Genomic DNA, 13,736 nt, shown 5'->3' on the forward strand with positions numbered 1-13,736 from the left:
CTGTATTTTATGTTTCTTGTTCCTTACATCAAACATGAATTCATTAAATGGTTTCATAGTCAAGGGAGAACATCTCTAAGATTGCTTTATTTGTGAATTATGTGTGCTTCAGTTAATATTTTTTTCTAAATAATTAGTGAAGCATCCTGGCCAGGGTTGTTTCTAGGGGTGTGGTCCTGGGTCTCCATCCTTACAATGGGGAGAGCAACACTTCCCCCTCTGGGGCAGCAGTGAGCAAATGAGGGACTGAATGCGTCCAGACAGCGGCAGGCCCTGGCCCTTCTACTTGAGTTACCACAAGGATATGTCACTTGTTACTGAGTGGTCCCAGGCAGCGGCCTCAGCTTTTCTGGAACTCACTTGAGATGGACTCAGACGCTGTGGTTTTGAAGGCTTTGTTGTAGCGGTTCCTTGGGCTGGAATCAGCCCTGTGTCAGCAGCTGCTGGTGGAGGTGACTGGGGGTTCCCGAGAGTGGATGAGTTGTCCGTATCTGTCTTACTTCTCGGCTATCTTGCTGGTGGCTGGCAGCTGCCTCCCTGAAAGCCCAGGTTGACTCCCTGCTGTCTGTGTGGGTGGGCTTCCCAGGGCACCCTCCCTGGGCTTTCCCTCCACCTTTCTTCAGTCTCGTCTTTTGCCCTTGTTCCCTGGGGTAGGCGGGTTGTTGATAGGGAGGGGCAGTTCCCGGGGTGGGGTGGGGAAGGAAAAGCTTGAACTGCTAGGACCCCAGAGGTTGTCTGTGACCCTCTCTGCCCACTGTTCAGTGTTGCTTTTCCTCCTCCTCCTCCTCCCATCCATATATGTGGGCAATTCCCTCCTTTTTTCTCCAGCTTTTTGCTGTTCATTATGGGAGTCACAAGCCACGTGGCTAGGGCACTTGAAATGTGGTAAGTCCGCATTGAGCTGCGCTGTACATATAAAATACTCACCTCATTTTAAAGGCTTAGTATAAAAAATGATTATCAAATATTTTATCGATACTTTTTATATTGATTACGTGTTGCAATGATAATATTTTGCATATAATAGATTAGAATATTGAAATTAACTTCCTATTTCTTGTCACTTTTTTAGAAAAAATGTGGCTATCAGAAAATTTAAAATTGCACGTGTGGCTCACCTTATATTTCTATTGCAGTGATTCTTAACTGGTGGCTGTTTTGCCTTCCAGGGACGTTTGATAATATTTGAAGACTTTTTTTTATTGTCATGCTGTTGGGAGAGTGGCGTGGTTGGCACGAGCACCTAGTTGGAAGAGGCCGGGGAAGCTGCTGAACATCCTACAATGCACAGGATAACACCCTACAACCAAAATTATCTGGTCCCAAATGTAGTAGTGCTGAGGTTGAGAAACCCAGTTCTATTGTATAGCACTGTTTTACTCTCACTTTTGATGAACCAATCTTCTCTCATTGACAATGACACTAAAATTGGAGGGCTTAGGGCACAGTAGAAAGAGCATAATGGCCAGAGTCAGATACCTGTGACCCTGGGCAGGTTATGTAACATTTCAGAGCCTCCACTTCCTCATCTGTGAAATGGACGCAATGATACCTACTTTATAGGATCCTTGTTAGGACTCAATGAAATTGAACATAGCATACCTGACACATGGTAGACCTCCACTCAGTAGAAATTAGCATTATTGTTAAAATTTGTGTCACTATGCGGACTCTCTGGATCAACTATTAGGATTTCTACACATCTTTTAGATTTTCAATGAGTACCTTACACTCAACAAATAGAAAACTAAATTCATAATTTTACACTTCCTCTCCCCTCCCACTCCCTAAATTTATTCTTCTTTCTGATTTTCAGTCTTAGAGCACAGTATCACCATTCTCCCACTCTGAGAACCTGAGTCAGTTTCACTTCTTCCTTCTACCCTCCAGCCTGAATTTGTAATCTCTTAACCTTTATACGTTAACTGTGTTTCATCCAACCCCTCCTTTACATTCCTGCCTAGTGGGACCTCTGCATCTGCTGTAAGTGGCTTCCTTCCAGGTCCTTGCCTCTACTCTTTCCCAGTCCCCACTATGTGTAAAGTTCTCTTGCTCAGGAACCTTGATGTTTTTTTTGTTTTGTTTTTGTTTTTGTTTTTGCTAAAGTGCGAGTACCTATGGTCAGAAAATGTGACATATCCATCTGTATTTCCCTAGCACCAGATATGATGCCTAGAAAATAGCTGTTCATTCAGTGTTTTTTGAATGAATGCATAGATAAATAAATGATAGATATCCTTTTCCCGTTGGTACATGGGTAGGATCAGGTATTACAGGGAGCTAGGGTAGCAGTTTCCAAATGCCCTATTTCCCTTTAATAGTTTTGCAGGGTTTAAATTACATATTCCCTAACCTACCTTATCTCACCACCCCCACTACCTCCACCACCTTCCTGATTTTGAGCTGGAGACTCAGTTTGTTTTCTCTGAAAGGGTTACAGCGATGATGCATTAGACCTGGGTCCCGGAAATCCTGCCTTCCATATGTGGGCTTCCGCAGGCAGCCTGAGCCAGCTATGGCTCACGTTCTGCAAGCCCAGGCCTGCCACCAGAGGGAAAGTGCCCTAGATGCCCAGGCATGCCTTCCTCTTGGTGGCCAAAGATTTCCCAGGCAGCTCCCAGCAGGCTGTGAGGGGAGGCTTTCCAGAAATTTGCCCTTAAAGATGCTCTGATAGAGAAAACATAACATGTTCTTTGGCAGGTTGTGGGCATCTATCATACAGTAATCATGGGCAGTCGGGATGGTGTAGGATTGGAGCCTCCCGATGTCTAGACACTTTGGTCTGTTCACAGTTTCAAAAACATTTTAATTACAAACCACTTTATGGTGTAAGGTGACCCACATGGAGTTATCAAGAACTTCTGAGTAAGTTTGCTAACTTCTTTTGTGGCAGCTGCAAGTTGACTCAAAACTACATTCCGCTGGTGAGTATGGGTTGTCTGGCCTGGAAGACATGTGTGAGTTGCTCTAAGGGGCTCGCTGTTCTCTTACTATCTGGAAGGCCTCAAAGTTCCTCTGGTGGGAAAGATTTTCTTCTGCAAACACCCTGGGATTTGTCTCTTGAAGAATCAGGGTTTTGGACTCTCCTACGTAACCATCTTCTGTGGGTTGGATATCAGATGTGTATCCAACCCCCAGAAGATGGATCAAGGTGCAGTTGACTAAATGGCTTTTCTCTTGGGAAACTTGAGGATTTTCTGTCACCTCTAACTGGCTTTGTGACATCTGAAGTTGTTTCCTGTATCTGAAGCTACTTATTTCATTGGTAAAGGTAGTAAAACTCCCACCTATTTTCAGCTTTGATTCCTTTTCTCCCCTGACCCCAAAACTTGTGCTTCAGAATAAGTTGTTTCACAGACAAGGTTGCATATGTTAGGTGACAATATCTTCTCTCCATTTTTGTAAAGTGTAAAGTCACATCACTGCCTGTCAGCATTTCTAATCAGCCACAGATAATTTGTGTTCACACTAAATTGTCACAATCCCATGCAAAATTAAGCAAGAGTGGTGATTAATAGCATGAGTCCAGAGTTGAACAGATTTGGGTTTGAAACTTAGCTCTGCCTTTTACCAGATAAACATCTTTAAGTAGCAGGACTTCAACTTCAATGTCCTCACCTGAAATCAAGAGATAAAATAGTTCCTACCTTATAAGTTAGTTTATCCCTTATTTAATAAGATAATATATGTAAAGCCCCAAGACAGTATCTTCTTAAATATAGACTATTATATTTCAGTTAGCCTCAGTGTGCATCCTGATTTGGGGTAAAGGTATGATTTGATTTGATTTGATTGACTGATTGATTTGGCAAATATTTATCAGTACCTGCTGAGGATGAGGGACTGCTCTAGCCTCTGGGGATACAGCTATGAATCAGAGACAAGGCCTCTGCTTTAGTGGAACTTATGTTCTAGAGGGAGACAAACAAAGTGAACTATTTAACAAATAAAAAAGATGGCCGGGTGCGGTGGCCCACGCCTGTAATCCCAGCACTTTGGGAGGCTGAGGCGGGCAGATCATTTGAGGTCAGGAGTTCAAGACCAGCCTGGCCAACATGGTGAAACCCTATCTCTATTTAAAAAAAAAAATAGAAAAATTAGCTGGGTGTGGTGGCATGTGTCTGTAATCCCAGCTACTCAGGAGGCTGACGCAGGAGAGTTGCTTGAACCTGGAAGGCGGAGGTTGCAGTGAGCCAAGATCATGCCATTGCACTCCAGCCCGGGCAGCAGAGCAAGACTATGTCTCAAAAAAAAAAAAAAAATGTAGGCCAGATGCACCTGCAATCCCAGCAATTTGGGAGGCCAAGGCAGGTGGATTGCTTGAGTTCAGGAGTTTGATACCAGCCTGGGTAACATGGTGAAACCCTGTCTCTACAAAGAAATACAAAAAAATTAGCTGGGCATGGTGGTGCACACCTGTAGTCCCAGCTACTCGGGAAGCTGAGATGGGAGGATTGCTTGAGCCTGGGAGGTCAAGGCTACAGTGAGCCGTGATTGTACCACTGCACTCCAGCTTGGGCAACAGAGTGAGACCCTGTCTCCAAAAAGAAAAAGAAAAAAAGAGAGAGATGTTGGGTTATGATAAGCACCATGCAGAAAATAAATGGAAATGTGAGAGAGTAATGGGTGGGGCTGAGAAGGTATCATCTCCAGGGAGTGGGATGTTTGAGCTCAGCCCTGAATGGTGAGAAGGAGCTGTGTTCAAAGATCTGAGGGAAGGGTGTCCAGGGCAGGAGGACCAGCAAGGAGCTCCCTTAGACTTTCAGAGGTACAAAAAATGGCCTCTGGGCTCCCTGAAATAACTTCTTGGAACCCCCACCCCCACCCCCGCCCGCCACCCAAAACCCACCAAGGGCAAGGGGTTATGGGGAGGGATGCATTGGACAGCATGATCTAAGCCTGCATTTGGTGAAAAGACTGAAATATTTACTATCTGGCCCTTTATAGAAAAAAATGTGCTAATCTGAGGGATCTAAGGTCCCTTTCAGCTTGGACAGTGCACACACGTGCAAGTGCAGGTGGGCAGGGCAGCTCGCCAGTGCAGGAAAAGTCAGCTCAGCAGCCTCCTGGGCACCCAGGCTCCAGGTGGGACTCACTCACCACCTTGGAGATACCCCAACAGAGGCAGTGTGTCTGTCAAGCGATGCAAACTGCCATCAGCCTTGAACTGCTGGGATCACAGTGTCCATGTCCCCAAATGGGATGGACTGGACTCTGAGCTCTTAGAGGTCAAAATCTGATTTCACTTAAACGATTTCTCCTCAGAAGCAAGGCACGGTGGCTCACGCCTGTAATCTCAACACTTTGGGAGGCTGAGGCGGGCGGGTGAATCACTTGAAGTCAGGAGTTCGAGACCAGCCTGGCCAACATGGTGAAACCCCGTCTCTATTAAAAATACAAAAATTACCCAGGTGCGATGATGGGTACCTGTAATCCCAGCTACTTGGGAGGCTGAGGCAGGAGAATCACTTGAACCCAGGAGGCGGAGGTTCCAGTGAGCTGAGATCACATCACTGCACTCCAGCCTGGGTGACAGAGTGAGACTCAGTCTTAAAAAATAAAATAAAGGATTCCTCCTGAGAAAGGAGGGAGGAGAGGAGCCGTGGGTCATTGCTACCATTTACTGAGTGCTTGCCATATGCATACGAGGCTATTTTATGAACAATTCTGCAGTGTATTGACTCCATCCCCATAACAACCCTGCCTGGTAGGAACTGCTTTATTCCTCTTTTATGGTTGAGAGAACTGACGTCAGAGGTAATAAGCTGCTGTGTTCAAAGCTACATAGCGAGCAAACAGGCTGCCTGCTTCTAGTCTCAGGTCCCTCACTACACCACCATATCCGCTATTTTCCCAGTGATGTTCATTCAAGGGCTGGTGAGTCTTCCTCTTTGCAGGCCTGAATTAAATCATGTTCAGACTCCTAAGCTGTGTTCATTCAGCACCTGTCTATAGGGCGAGAGACTTCATAGAAAGAGAAGGGGAACACTCTAAGGCTCTTGGCAAGGTGGTTAGCTGTGGACATAGCAGCCGGTCCAGATACGGCTGTAGAATAGCATGGTAGCCTTGCACTCCTTGGCTCCAGCTCTGGGCTGCAGGAACAGCTGCTCAACTCAGATAAGTAATCTCTCCCTTGTTGACCTTAGAGCAATAGGAATTGGTGAAATTGAAGGAATGCCTGACCTTTTCTCATACAGATCCACTTCCAGGCCTCATCATGGCCCTTCTATAGAGGCCAGCCTGAGACAAAGCTGTTGTCCATGGATAGGATCAGCCTTGTCTGTGCTCATGAGTGGTCATGGGATGAGGTGGTGCCAGTAGAGGATTCAAGTGCCTGTGAGGGAGAGAGAAGGGCCTAGAAAGACAGTGGGCCCTAATACTTCAAAGAAAGGTGGCAGAGAGGGCAATGCAGGAGTCACACCTGGCAGTGACTCCCAGCTCCACCCTTTATCAGCTGTGTGAAGCCAGGCAGGTGTAACATGATGGATATGAGTTTCTGCTTTGGAGCTTGACCACCTGGATTCAGATGCCAGTTCCTCCACATACTGTGTGAGGTGACCTTGAGCATGCTACTTGAGCATTTCATGTCTTGGTTTTGTTATCTGGGCTTGTTGTGAGATTTGAATGAACTGATACATGTGACAACTGGTGCTGGATATGGAGTCAGAGTTCAGCACATGCTGGCTATGTTACATCATTTTGCCTCTGGACCTCAATTCCTCAACTGCAAAATGTGAGCAGCAATGCCATTTTCTTAGGAGTTCCTGCAAGGGTTAAATGAGTGAATATACTTCAAGCAGGTCTGGCAATAATATGGAAGACACTTAATAGACACCTTTACTGACCTCAAGTGGCCCCCGGCCATGGCACCTGCTGAGTGGAAATGTTTGTCATTGGGTAGATTGACAGCACTGCTTGCAGTCCTGCCTGGAGTTCTCTGGGCTAGGAAAGTCTAGGTGGTGGATGCCATTGTCCTCTCCCTCACTATCTGCTGTCATCTCTATGGTGCAATGGTTAAAATCATGGTCTCTGAACCAGATACCGGGATTTGAATCCTAGCTTCACCACTGAATAGCTACAGCTGTAAGACATGGATGATGGATGTTCGTTGTTGTGAATACAGCCTTATAACAGGCCTGGCATGTAGTAAAGAGTGTTAGCTATTATTATTGCAGTGCGGGGACCCCTACATGACTGAACTGATAGGCTTTAACAGTTACTAAGCAACTAAAAAAGAGAAAATGGCAGAAATGAACTGCTCTATTTCCGGATGTTATATTATTTATATATTTTAGCTCTGCCTTTTTCCCCACATGTAGGTTACAACTGGCCCTACATTTTTTAGCTTTGAATATATGTTGACTCAGCCCATCTCAGAAGCCTCCCCTCTTTCTCCTAAAGAAATGTGAGATTTATCTGACACCCCTTTTTGGGTCTTGGAAGACCCTGTGTCTTTTGTTCTCCAGAAGAAGATCGCTGGCCAGATCCAGGCCTTACCCCTCGACTAGGAGCTCTGTGCTATTAAAAGAAAACACCAGGGTACCAGCACCAGAGCCCAAGGGACAAGAATTTACAGGGTCAGTTAGAAGAATGACCATTCACAGGGAGAAAACCGAGGCTATAAAAAGAAAATATATTGTAATTTTTCACATCAAATGATATGTTTAAGATATGTGCACCTTTCTGCAGTTATACAGGCAGTAGGAAAAAAGAGTATGTGGATTTCATTTTATATACATTTTACCTTAAACCTGGGCCAGACACAGTGGCTCATGTCTATAATCCCAGCAGCACTTTGGGAGGCTGAGGCAGGATGATCGCTTGAGGGCCCACCAGCCTAGGCAACATAGGGAGACCCTCTCTCTACAACATTTTTTTGTAATTAGCCAGGTGTGGTGGTGTGTATCTATAGTCCCAGCTACTAGGGAGGTTGAGGTGGGAGGATCACTAGGGCCCAGGAGTTCGAGGCTGCAGTGAGCCGTGATTGTGGCACTGTACTCCAGCCTGGGCTACAGAGCAAGACCCTGTCTCTAAAAACCAAACAAAACCAAAACAAAACCTTGAGCAAATATTGAACTCTAGTCAATGAGATACATGCTGAAATATTTGGGAGGAAATGTATTGATTCTGCTATTTAATTGAAATGCACCACAAAATAAGATAAATTGACTAGTGAGTAGAAGGATAGACGGATGTGAATAGATACATGCTAAAGCAAGGAGAACAAAATCTAATCATAGAATCTAGGTGGGGAGTATTTGGATGTCTTGCAGCTTCTCTATATATCTGAAAAGTATTATAATGAAATGTTGCCAAAAAATGTTGTAAAGCTACTAGATTAAAAACAAAAAAATTACAATGGGAAAATATAAAAGTAGATGCTGGAAATATTTACAAATGTTTAAAATGCTATTTGGAAAACTAGAGTTGAATATGAAGAAAAATAAAACTAGGCCCGTGTATTTTCTGCAATAGATTTCTTTTTTTTTTTTTTTGTATTAGAAAATAGCAATATATATATTTTTAGAGGAAGAGTGTTCTAGACAGAAGACAAAGCGAGTGAAAAGCCCATGTGTGGGCTCAGTGAAGCTAGTACAGCTGGAGTGTGAGAGGAGGGGGTGGTGGGAGCTGAGGACAAAAGGGAAACTGTAGGTTGAGATCATATAGGGTCCTAAGGCCTAGCCACATCCTGTGATTCTGACTTCTGAGTGCCACAGGCAGACATGAAACGATGTGAGCTACGAGTGAGTGACATGATCTGACTTGAGGAGGACTGCTCTGGTTGCTGTATGGGGACAGACTGCAAAGTGACAAGGGTGGAAGCTGGGAGACCAGATAGGAGCCCTGATATCAGTTCAAAGGAGAGATGGCCATGACTTGGATAAGGAGGCAGCGTGTGAGCCGGTGAAAATTGATTGGATTCTATATCTGTTCTGAAGATAGTAAACAAGATTTATTGGTGGATTGGTTGTGAGGTAAGAGGAGAAGAACCAAGACTGATTCCAGATTTTTGGTCTAAGCAAGTAGAAAAGTAGGTAGCACTTACCAAGACCATGTTGATGGGGGAGAAGCAGGTTTTTGCAGGGAGGGAATAAGAGTTCAGTTGTAGATCTGTTATGTGAGTAATGCGTATTGAAGCAGATAGAAATGTCAGTGCACAGTTGGCTGGATTCCGTGGGATATTCAGGGTTGAGCACCATCAACATGTAGATGGTAATTAAAGTCATGGAAGTAGATGGTGTCAGGGTCAATAAGGGAAGGGTATAAAGGCTGAGCCCCAGGCACTTCCAGGTATAGAGGACAGGAAGATGAGGAGGAGCAGCAAGGGTGCCTGAGCAACTGCAGGGCAGGAGAGAGTCAAGAAAGTAGGTCAACTGTTTCAAAGGCTGCCCTGACTGCCTCTCTACCTCTAGTTTCTTTTCTCTCTTCTTACCATCTTTGTTATTGCTCTGGAACCAATTGTCCTAAAGTAGCACCTCCATCCTATTCTAAGCTCATAAAATCCAAAGGGGAGGAATAAAGTCCAAACTCTTCAGTCTGCCATCCAAGTCCCTCCACGATCTGGCTCTTTCTTTCTCTTTCTCTCTTTCTTTCTCTACTCTCCTGGTTTCACCTTCCCCACCAACCCCTGACCCTCACTTCACTGGCCACTGCCCTGCAAACCACCTCCCTCTTTCTCAGCATGCCATTTGTTTTCTTTCTGCAAATCTTCAGCCTCAATTCTCCATTCATGGTCTATCTCCTGGAGGGATCCTTTCTTGACTGAAGTCACTAATCTGTTTCTTCTCTAAATTCCTAAAGTAGTCAGAGGTAATACCAAACAATCCAGCATTCATTGTATCTGTTTTTCTTCTTCTCTAGTTCCCAGCCAATTTCCTGAGGTTTGGGAACATGAGCCTGTAATCCCCAGAGCCATCTCACCAGTCCTTTACATATCTTAGATGCTCTGCCACATAACACTTATGGAAACCTGGAAGGATTAATATAGGATTGGGATTTTGAGTATGGGCTCAGAGGCTAGGTTCTTCCCCTGGTTCTATTACCATGGCCAAGTCATTTAACCTTCCTGAGCTCCAGTTTTCCTATCTGCCAAATGGCTATGAACATGCCTAATTCAGGGTGATTGTAAGAACGATGCAGGATGCATTTCTTATAGTATGCTTAGCACACTTCATGTACATTATAAGCAGGCAATAAGCGGTAGCTTTGTTTTCATTATTGCTATTATTAATACTATTATTATTCTTGGTCTTCCCAACAGAGATGCACAGGCAACAACAAAGATGGGACTGTGTTGACCTGTTCACTCCATACTTTCAGATCTCAAGTGAGGTGTTCGACTCTGCTGCTGGCAGGGGTACAGGGGTGGCCCTCACACCCTGACTTCGGGGAACCTATGTGTTAAATGGGGAGATGCCATGAGACCCAACCGCTACCCAGAGAGGTACAAGCCCTGAGGATTGTGCTTAGAACTTCTAAACTAGGCAGCAGTGTGAACGAACTTCTGAGGCCAAAAGGCAGAATGTCTGCGAATAAAACTGTCCCTGAAAATCCAGACCCTGCAGCTACTGGTTACAGTTGGTCATGGAGGAGGAGAGCACTGGCTCAGGATGGAAGGGAAGAACAGAGAGAAACGGAATGTTTCTCAGAGGAATTAGTTGGTTTTTTTAGGGAACGTACAAAGCATAGGATACCTTTTTCCATTTTATTTCTGTAAATTTCTAAGATTGATAAGTGGTGTGTAATTGTTACTCAGGAATAACTGGATACAGAAGAGAGTCTGGAGATGTCAGGGCCATGTCAAGTCAGATGAGATGTAACTCCTTTCCCAGAGCAGCACTTGAAGTTCCCCTGGGGAGCCCCTACTGGCCAACCCCCTCTCAGAGATTCCTCCACAGCTAGAACCTCAGGTGATTTTGAGCATGTACCCTGGAATCAGAGGTTAGGTTTTCACCCTGGTTCTGTTACCACGGCTATGTCATTTAACCTTCCTGAGCTCCAGTTTCCTATGTGCCAAATGATGATGAATATGCCTAATTCAGGGTTACTGTAAGAATCAAGTGAGATGCATTTCTTAAAACATGCTTAGCACAGTTCTTGTACATTATAAGCAGGCAGTAAGTGTTAACCCCATCTCTCATGAGTAAACCCCAGCACTGCCCTGCAGGGGTGAGGCTGTGCAGCCAGGTCCCTATTGCAAGCCCTCCCCCAACACACACATTCTGGCAGGTGGGTGGCACCTTGAATTTGAAAACTCTCCATCCTGCGATTCTGAACCAAGCTGTTCTTATTCACGGTAAACCAGTAACAGCCAGGGGCTTCCTGCCTGGATTCAGATAAGTGGCTGGTACTGAGAGCCAGGGAGGCTGCAGAGCCACACCAGGAAGTATGGTGGCACGTCCCTGGCACCAGTGCACTGCCCTGGGGAGCTGGCCTGCAGGTCAGTGTGCTGGGAGGACTGCGGCTACCAGGAAGACAGCACCATGCATGACCTCCCCCATGCCCAGCTTGCTGCCAGGGCCACCCTCACCAAAGGAGGCTTGCACTATCCAAGCCCAAACTCCCACTGTGGTGGCACCTGCCAGTGTGACTTGCACAGGCTCAAGCTCTGTCCAGCCTATGATTTCCCACCCTGCGGAAGCACATGAAGCTCAGGCTGGACCTGGCTTGCTCGTTCCTTGCAGAGCCCCTGTGAACCCAGCCTGAACCCCAGCTCCTTTCAGGAGGCCACAGTGTGCTCAATGCAGGGAAGGAGCCAAGTCCTCTCACTTCATCCTGACCTCACCACTGAGGTCGGGCTTCACTGTCAGTCAAGCCGGTAAGAGCATAGACTTTAGACCAATAGTACCTGGGTTAAAATCCAGATCTGACAGCTTATTTGTTATGTGACTTTAAAGACATTTCTTACCCTCTTTACTCAAAAAGAGAGTTAATAAGAGTGCCTGGAGCAAGTTGCTTAACTTTTCAGTGCCTTAGTTACCTCACTTATAAAGTGGGGATGATCATAACACTTTCATAGGGTAGTTGCAAGGATGAAACACACAAAGCAAATAGGACAGTGCCTGGCAAATAGAATGTGCCAGGCACCGTGCAGTTAGGTCTCACAACTGTCCTTTCTAGGTGAGGTGCAGGGTGGGTAAGCCAGCTGGAGAACGCCACACCCTGGTCAAGTGCTAGCTTCTGCACTCGACCTCGCTGCAGTGTCTGCACACACAGCTCTCAAGGAACACAAGGGCAGGATTCGGAAGTGGAAATGAAACCTGCAGACTGCTAACCCCTGGCTTAGCACTTGGTCCCCTCGGCATCTCCCTCTGGGGACTGAATCTCTTATGCATTCCTGACTGCCCCAGCACACTTGCCCACTTGTAGGCTGGTGAGAGGGGCGGCTGGAAGATGCACCATGTCAAGAAGTGGGTTGTGTTTGCAGGTTCCCCTGGGGAGGAGCAGAAGTCACACGTGAGCTGGGGCCGCCCAGTCCTTGTGTCCTGACTGTGGGCTAGTTGGTCACCATCCCCCCATCCTGACCCTTGATAAAGAGCTGATTTTTCCATGAGGCGTTTGTCTCTCCTCTGTGCTAACGTGGAGGCCTGAACACCGCCGAGCTTATCTATACAATGGATTTCCTGCAGGTGTTGGTTCTGCCCTGCTCCCCACTGGGTAATAATTTATGTCACCTGAGCACACAGATATGCTGACATCCATGATGCTGGTGGCCCTGGCAGACCCTGGCTCCCCAAGTCTGGGTGGAAATCTGCAAATGTGAACCCCCAACTGGTGTGAACTGAAACATCCCAGTTGTGAATGGAGAGCCAGAACTGGATGGGTGGAGAGGGTGTGGAGAGTTCATCAGCTGTCTATTGAGGCCTCCTAAGTAGCAGGCCTGGTACTGGGCTCTGAACACACAGAAATACAGAGGACAGGGGCAGCCTTAGAGGAACCCTTGGACTGGCTGTGGGTTAGACACGGAAAATATGACCCGCAGAGCTGGTTCTGGGGAAGCAGAAAGGACACAGCTCATGGGAGCGCGGGGCAGGAGCTTAAAATCTCATTGAGTTTTAATGAAAAGCTTTCCTTCCTTGGACATAAGGCCTAGCTGGGTCTGAGGAAAGAGCTCCTTCGGGTCGAGTTATCACAACCCTTTGCATCTGTGGTCTGTTTGGACCACATCCAGCATCCAGAGCTTCTACAGTGGGCATGCTGGGGAAGTCCTCATCTCTCCCACTCCTCTGCCCGGGCACGTGGCTGCCATGGTATTTGGCCTCTTGCCAGAACACCGAGTTCCCATATTAATCACAGCAAGTGCGTTCAGAGAAGACCTGACTTGGCCCCTGCCAACAAGCCATCTCTCTGGCCTTGATAACATCTGTACCGAATTTTCTCCCTTTATATAATTAGGCCCGTTGGTATTTGCTTTGACTTTAGATTACGGTATGACTGGCATCTCTGAAATTTCAGGCCCGAAATATGTACTGGGGCCCAGGATGGTGGGAAAACCGAGCTTTCGCCAATGGGATTTTAGGTTTAGCCAAGAGAATCAGAAACTGTACACCAGCTACTGTTTGCGTGCAAAATGCATGGCAGCTCCCTGACTGGTGGGAAAGGGGTCTCCTGCCTTGTCCAGGGAGCAGTACTGGGTCGGGCCTGGTGGACAGAAGGATGCAGGGGGCTCCCCTCCTTCTTTCCTGCCTCTCTTCACCCCACATCCTTCTACCCCTGCTCCAAAACAGGAAAAGATG

At 46.4% G+C, this 13,736-nt stretch overlaps 1 protein-coding gene across 22 annotated transcripts in view, besides 1 other annotated feature; it reads left to right on the top strand.

Moving 5' to 3' along the window:
• MICAL2 (microtubule associated monooxygenase, calponin and LIM domain containing 2) overlaps positions 1-13,736 on the top strand; it is a 251,551-nt gene that overhangs the window by 76,636 nt on the left and 161,179 nt on the right.
• Positions 5,917-6,211: an enhancer, noted in NCBI's record as "tiled region #12121; K562 Activating DNase matched - State 5:Enh". NCBI's record gives its function as "activates a minimal TATA promoter and a strong SV40 promoter by Sharpr-MPRA in K562 cells {active_cell/tissue: K562}" and the evidence as "EXISTENCE:reporter gene assay evidence [ECO:0000049][PMID:27701403]".

This window comes from Homo sapiens, chromosome 11, assembly GCF_000001405.40.
Source record: "Homo sapiens chromosome 11, GRCh38.p14 Primary Assembly".
NCBI lineage: Eukaryota > Metazoa > Chordata > Mammalia > Primates > Hominidae > Homo > Homo sapiens.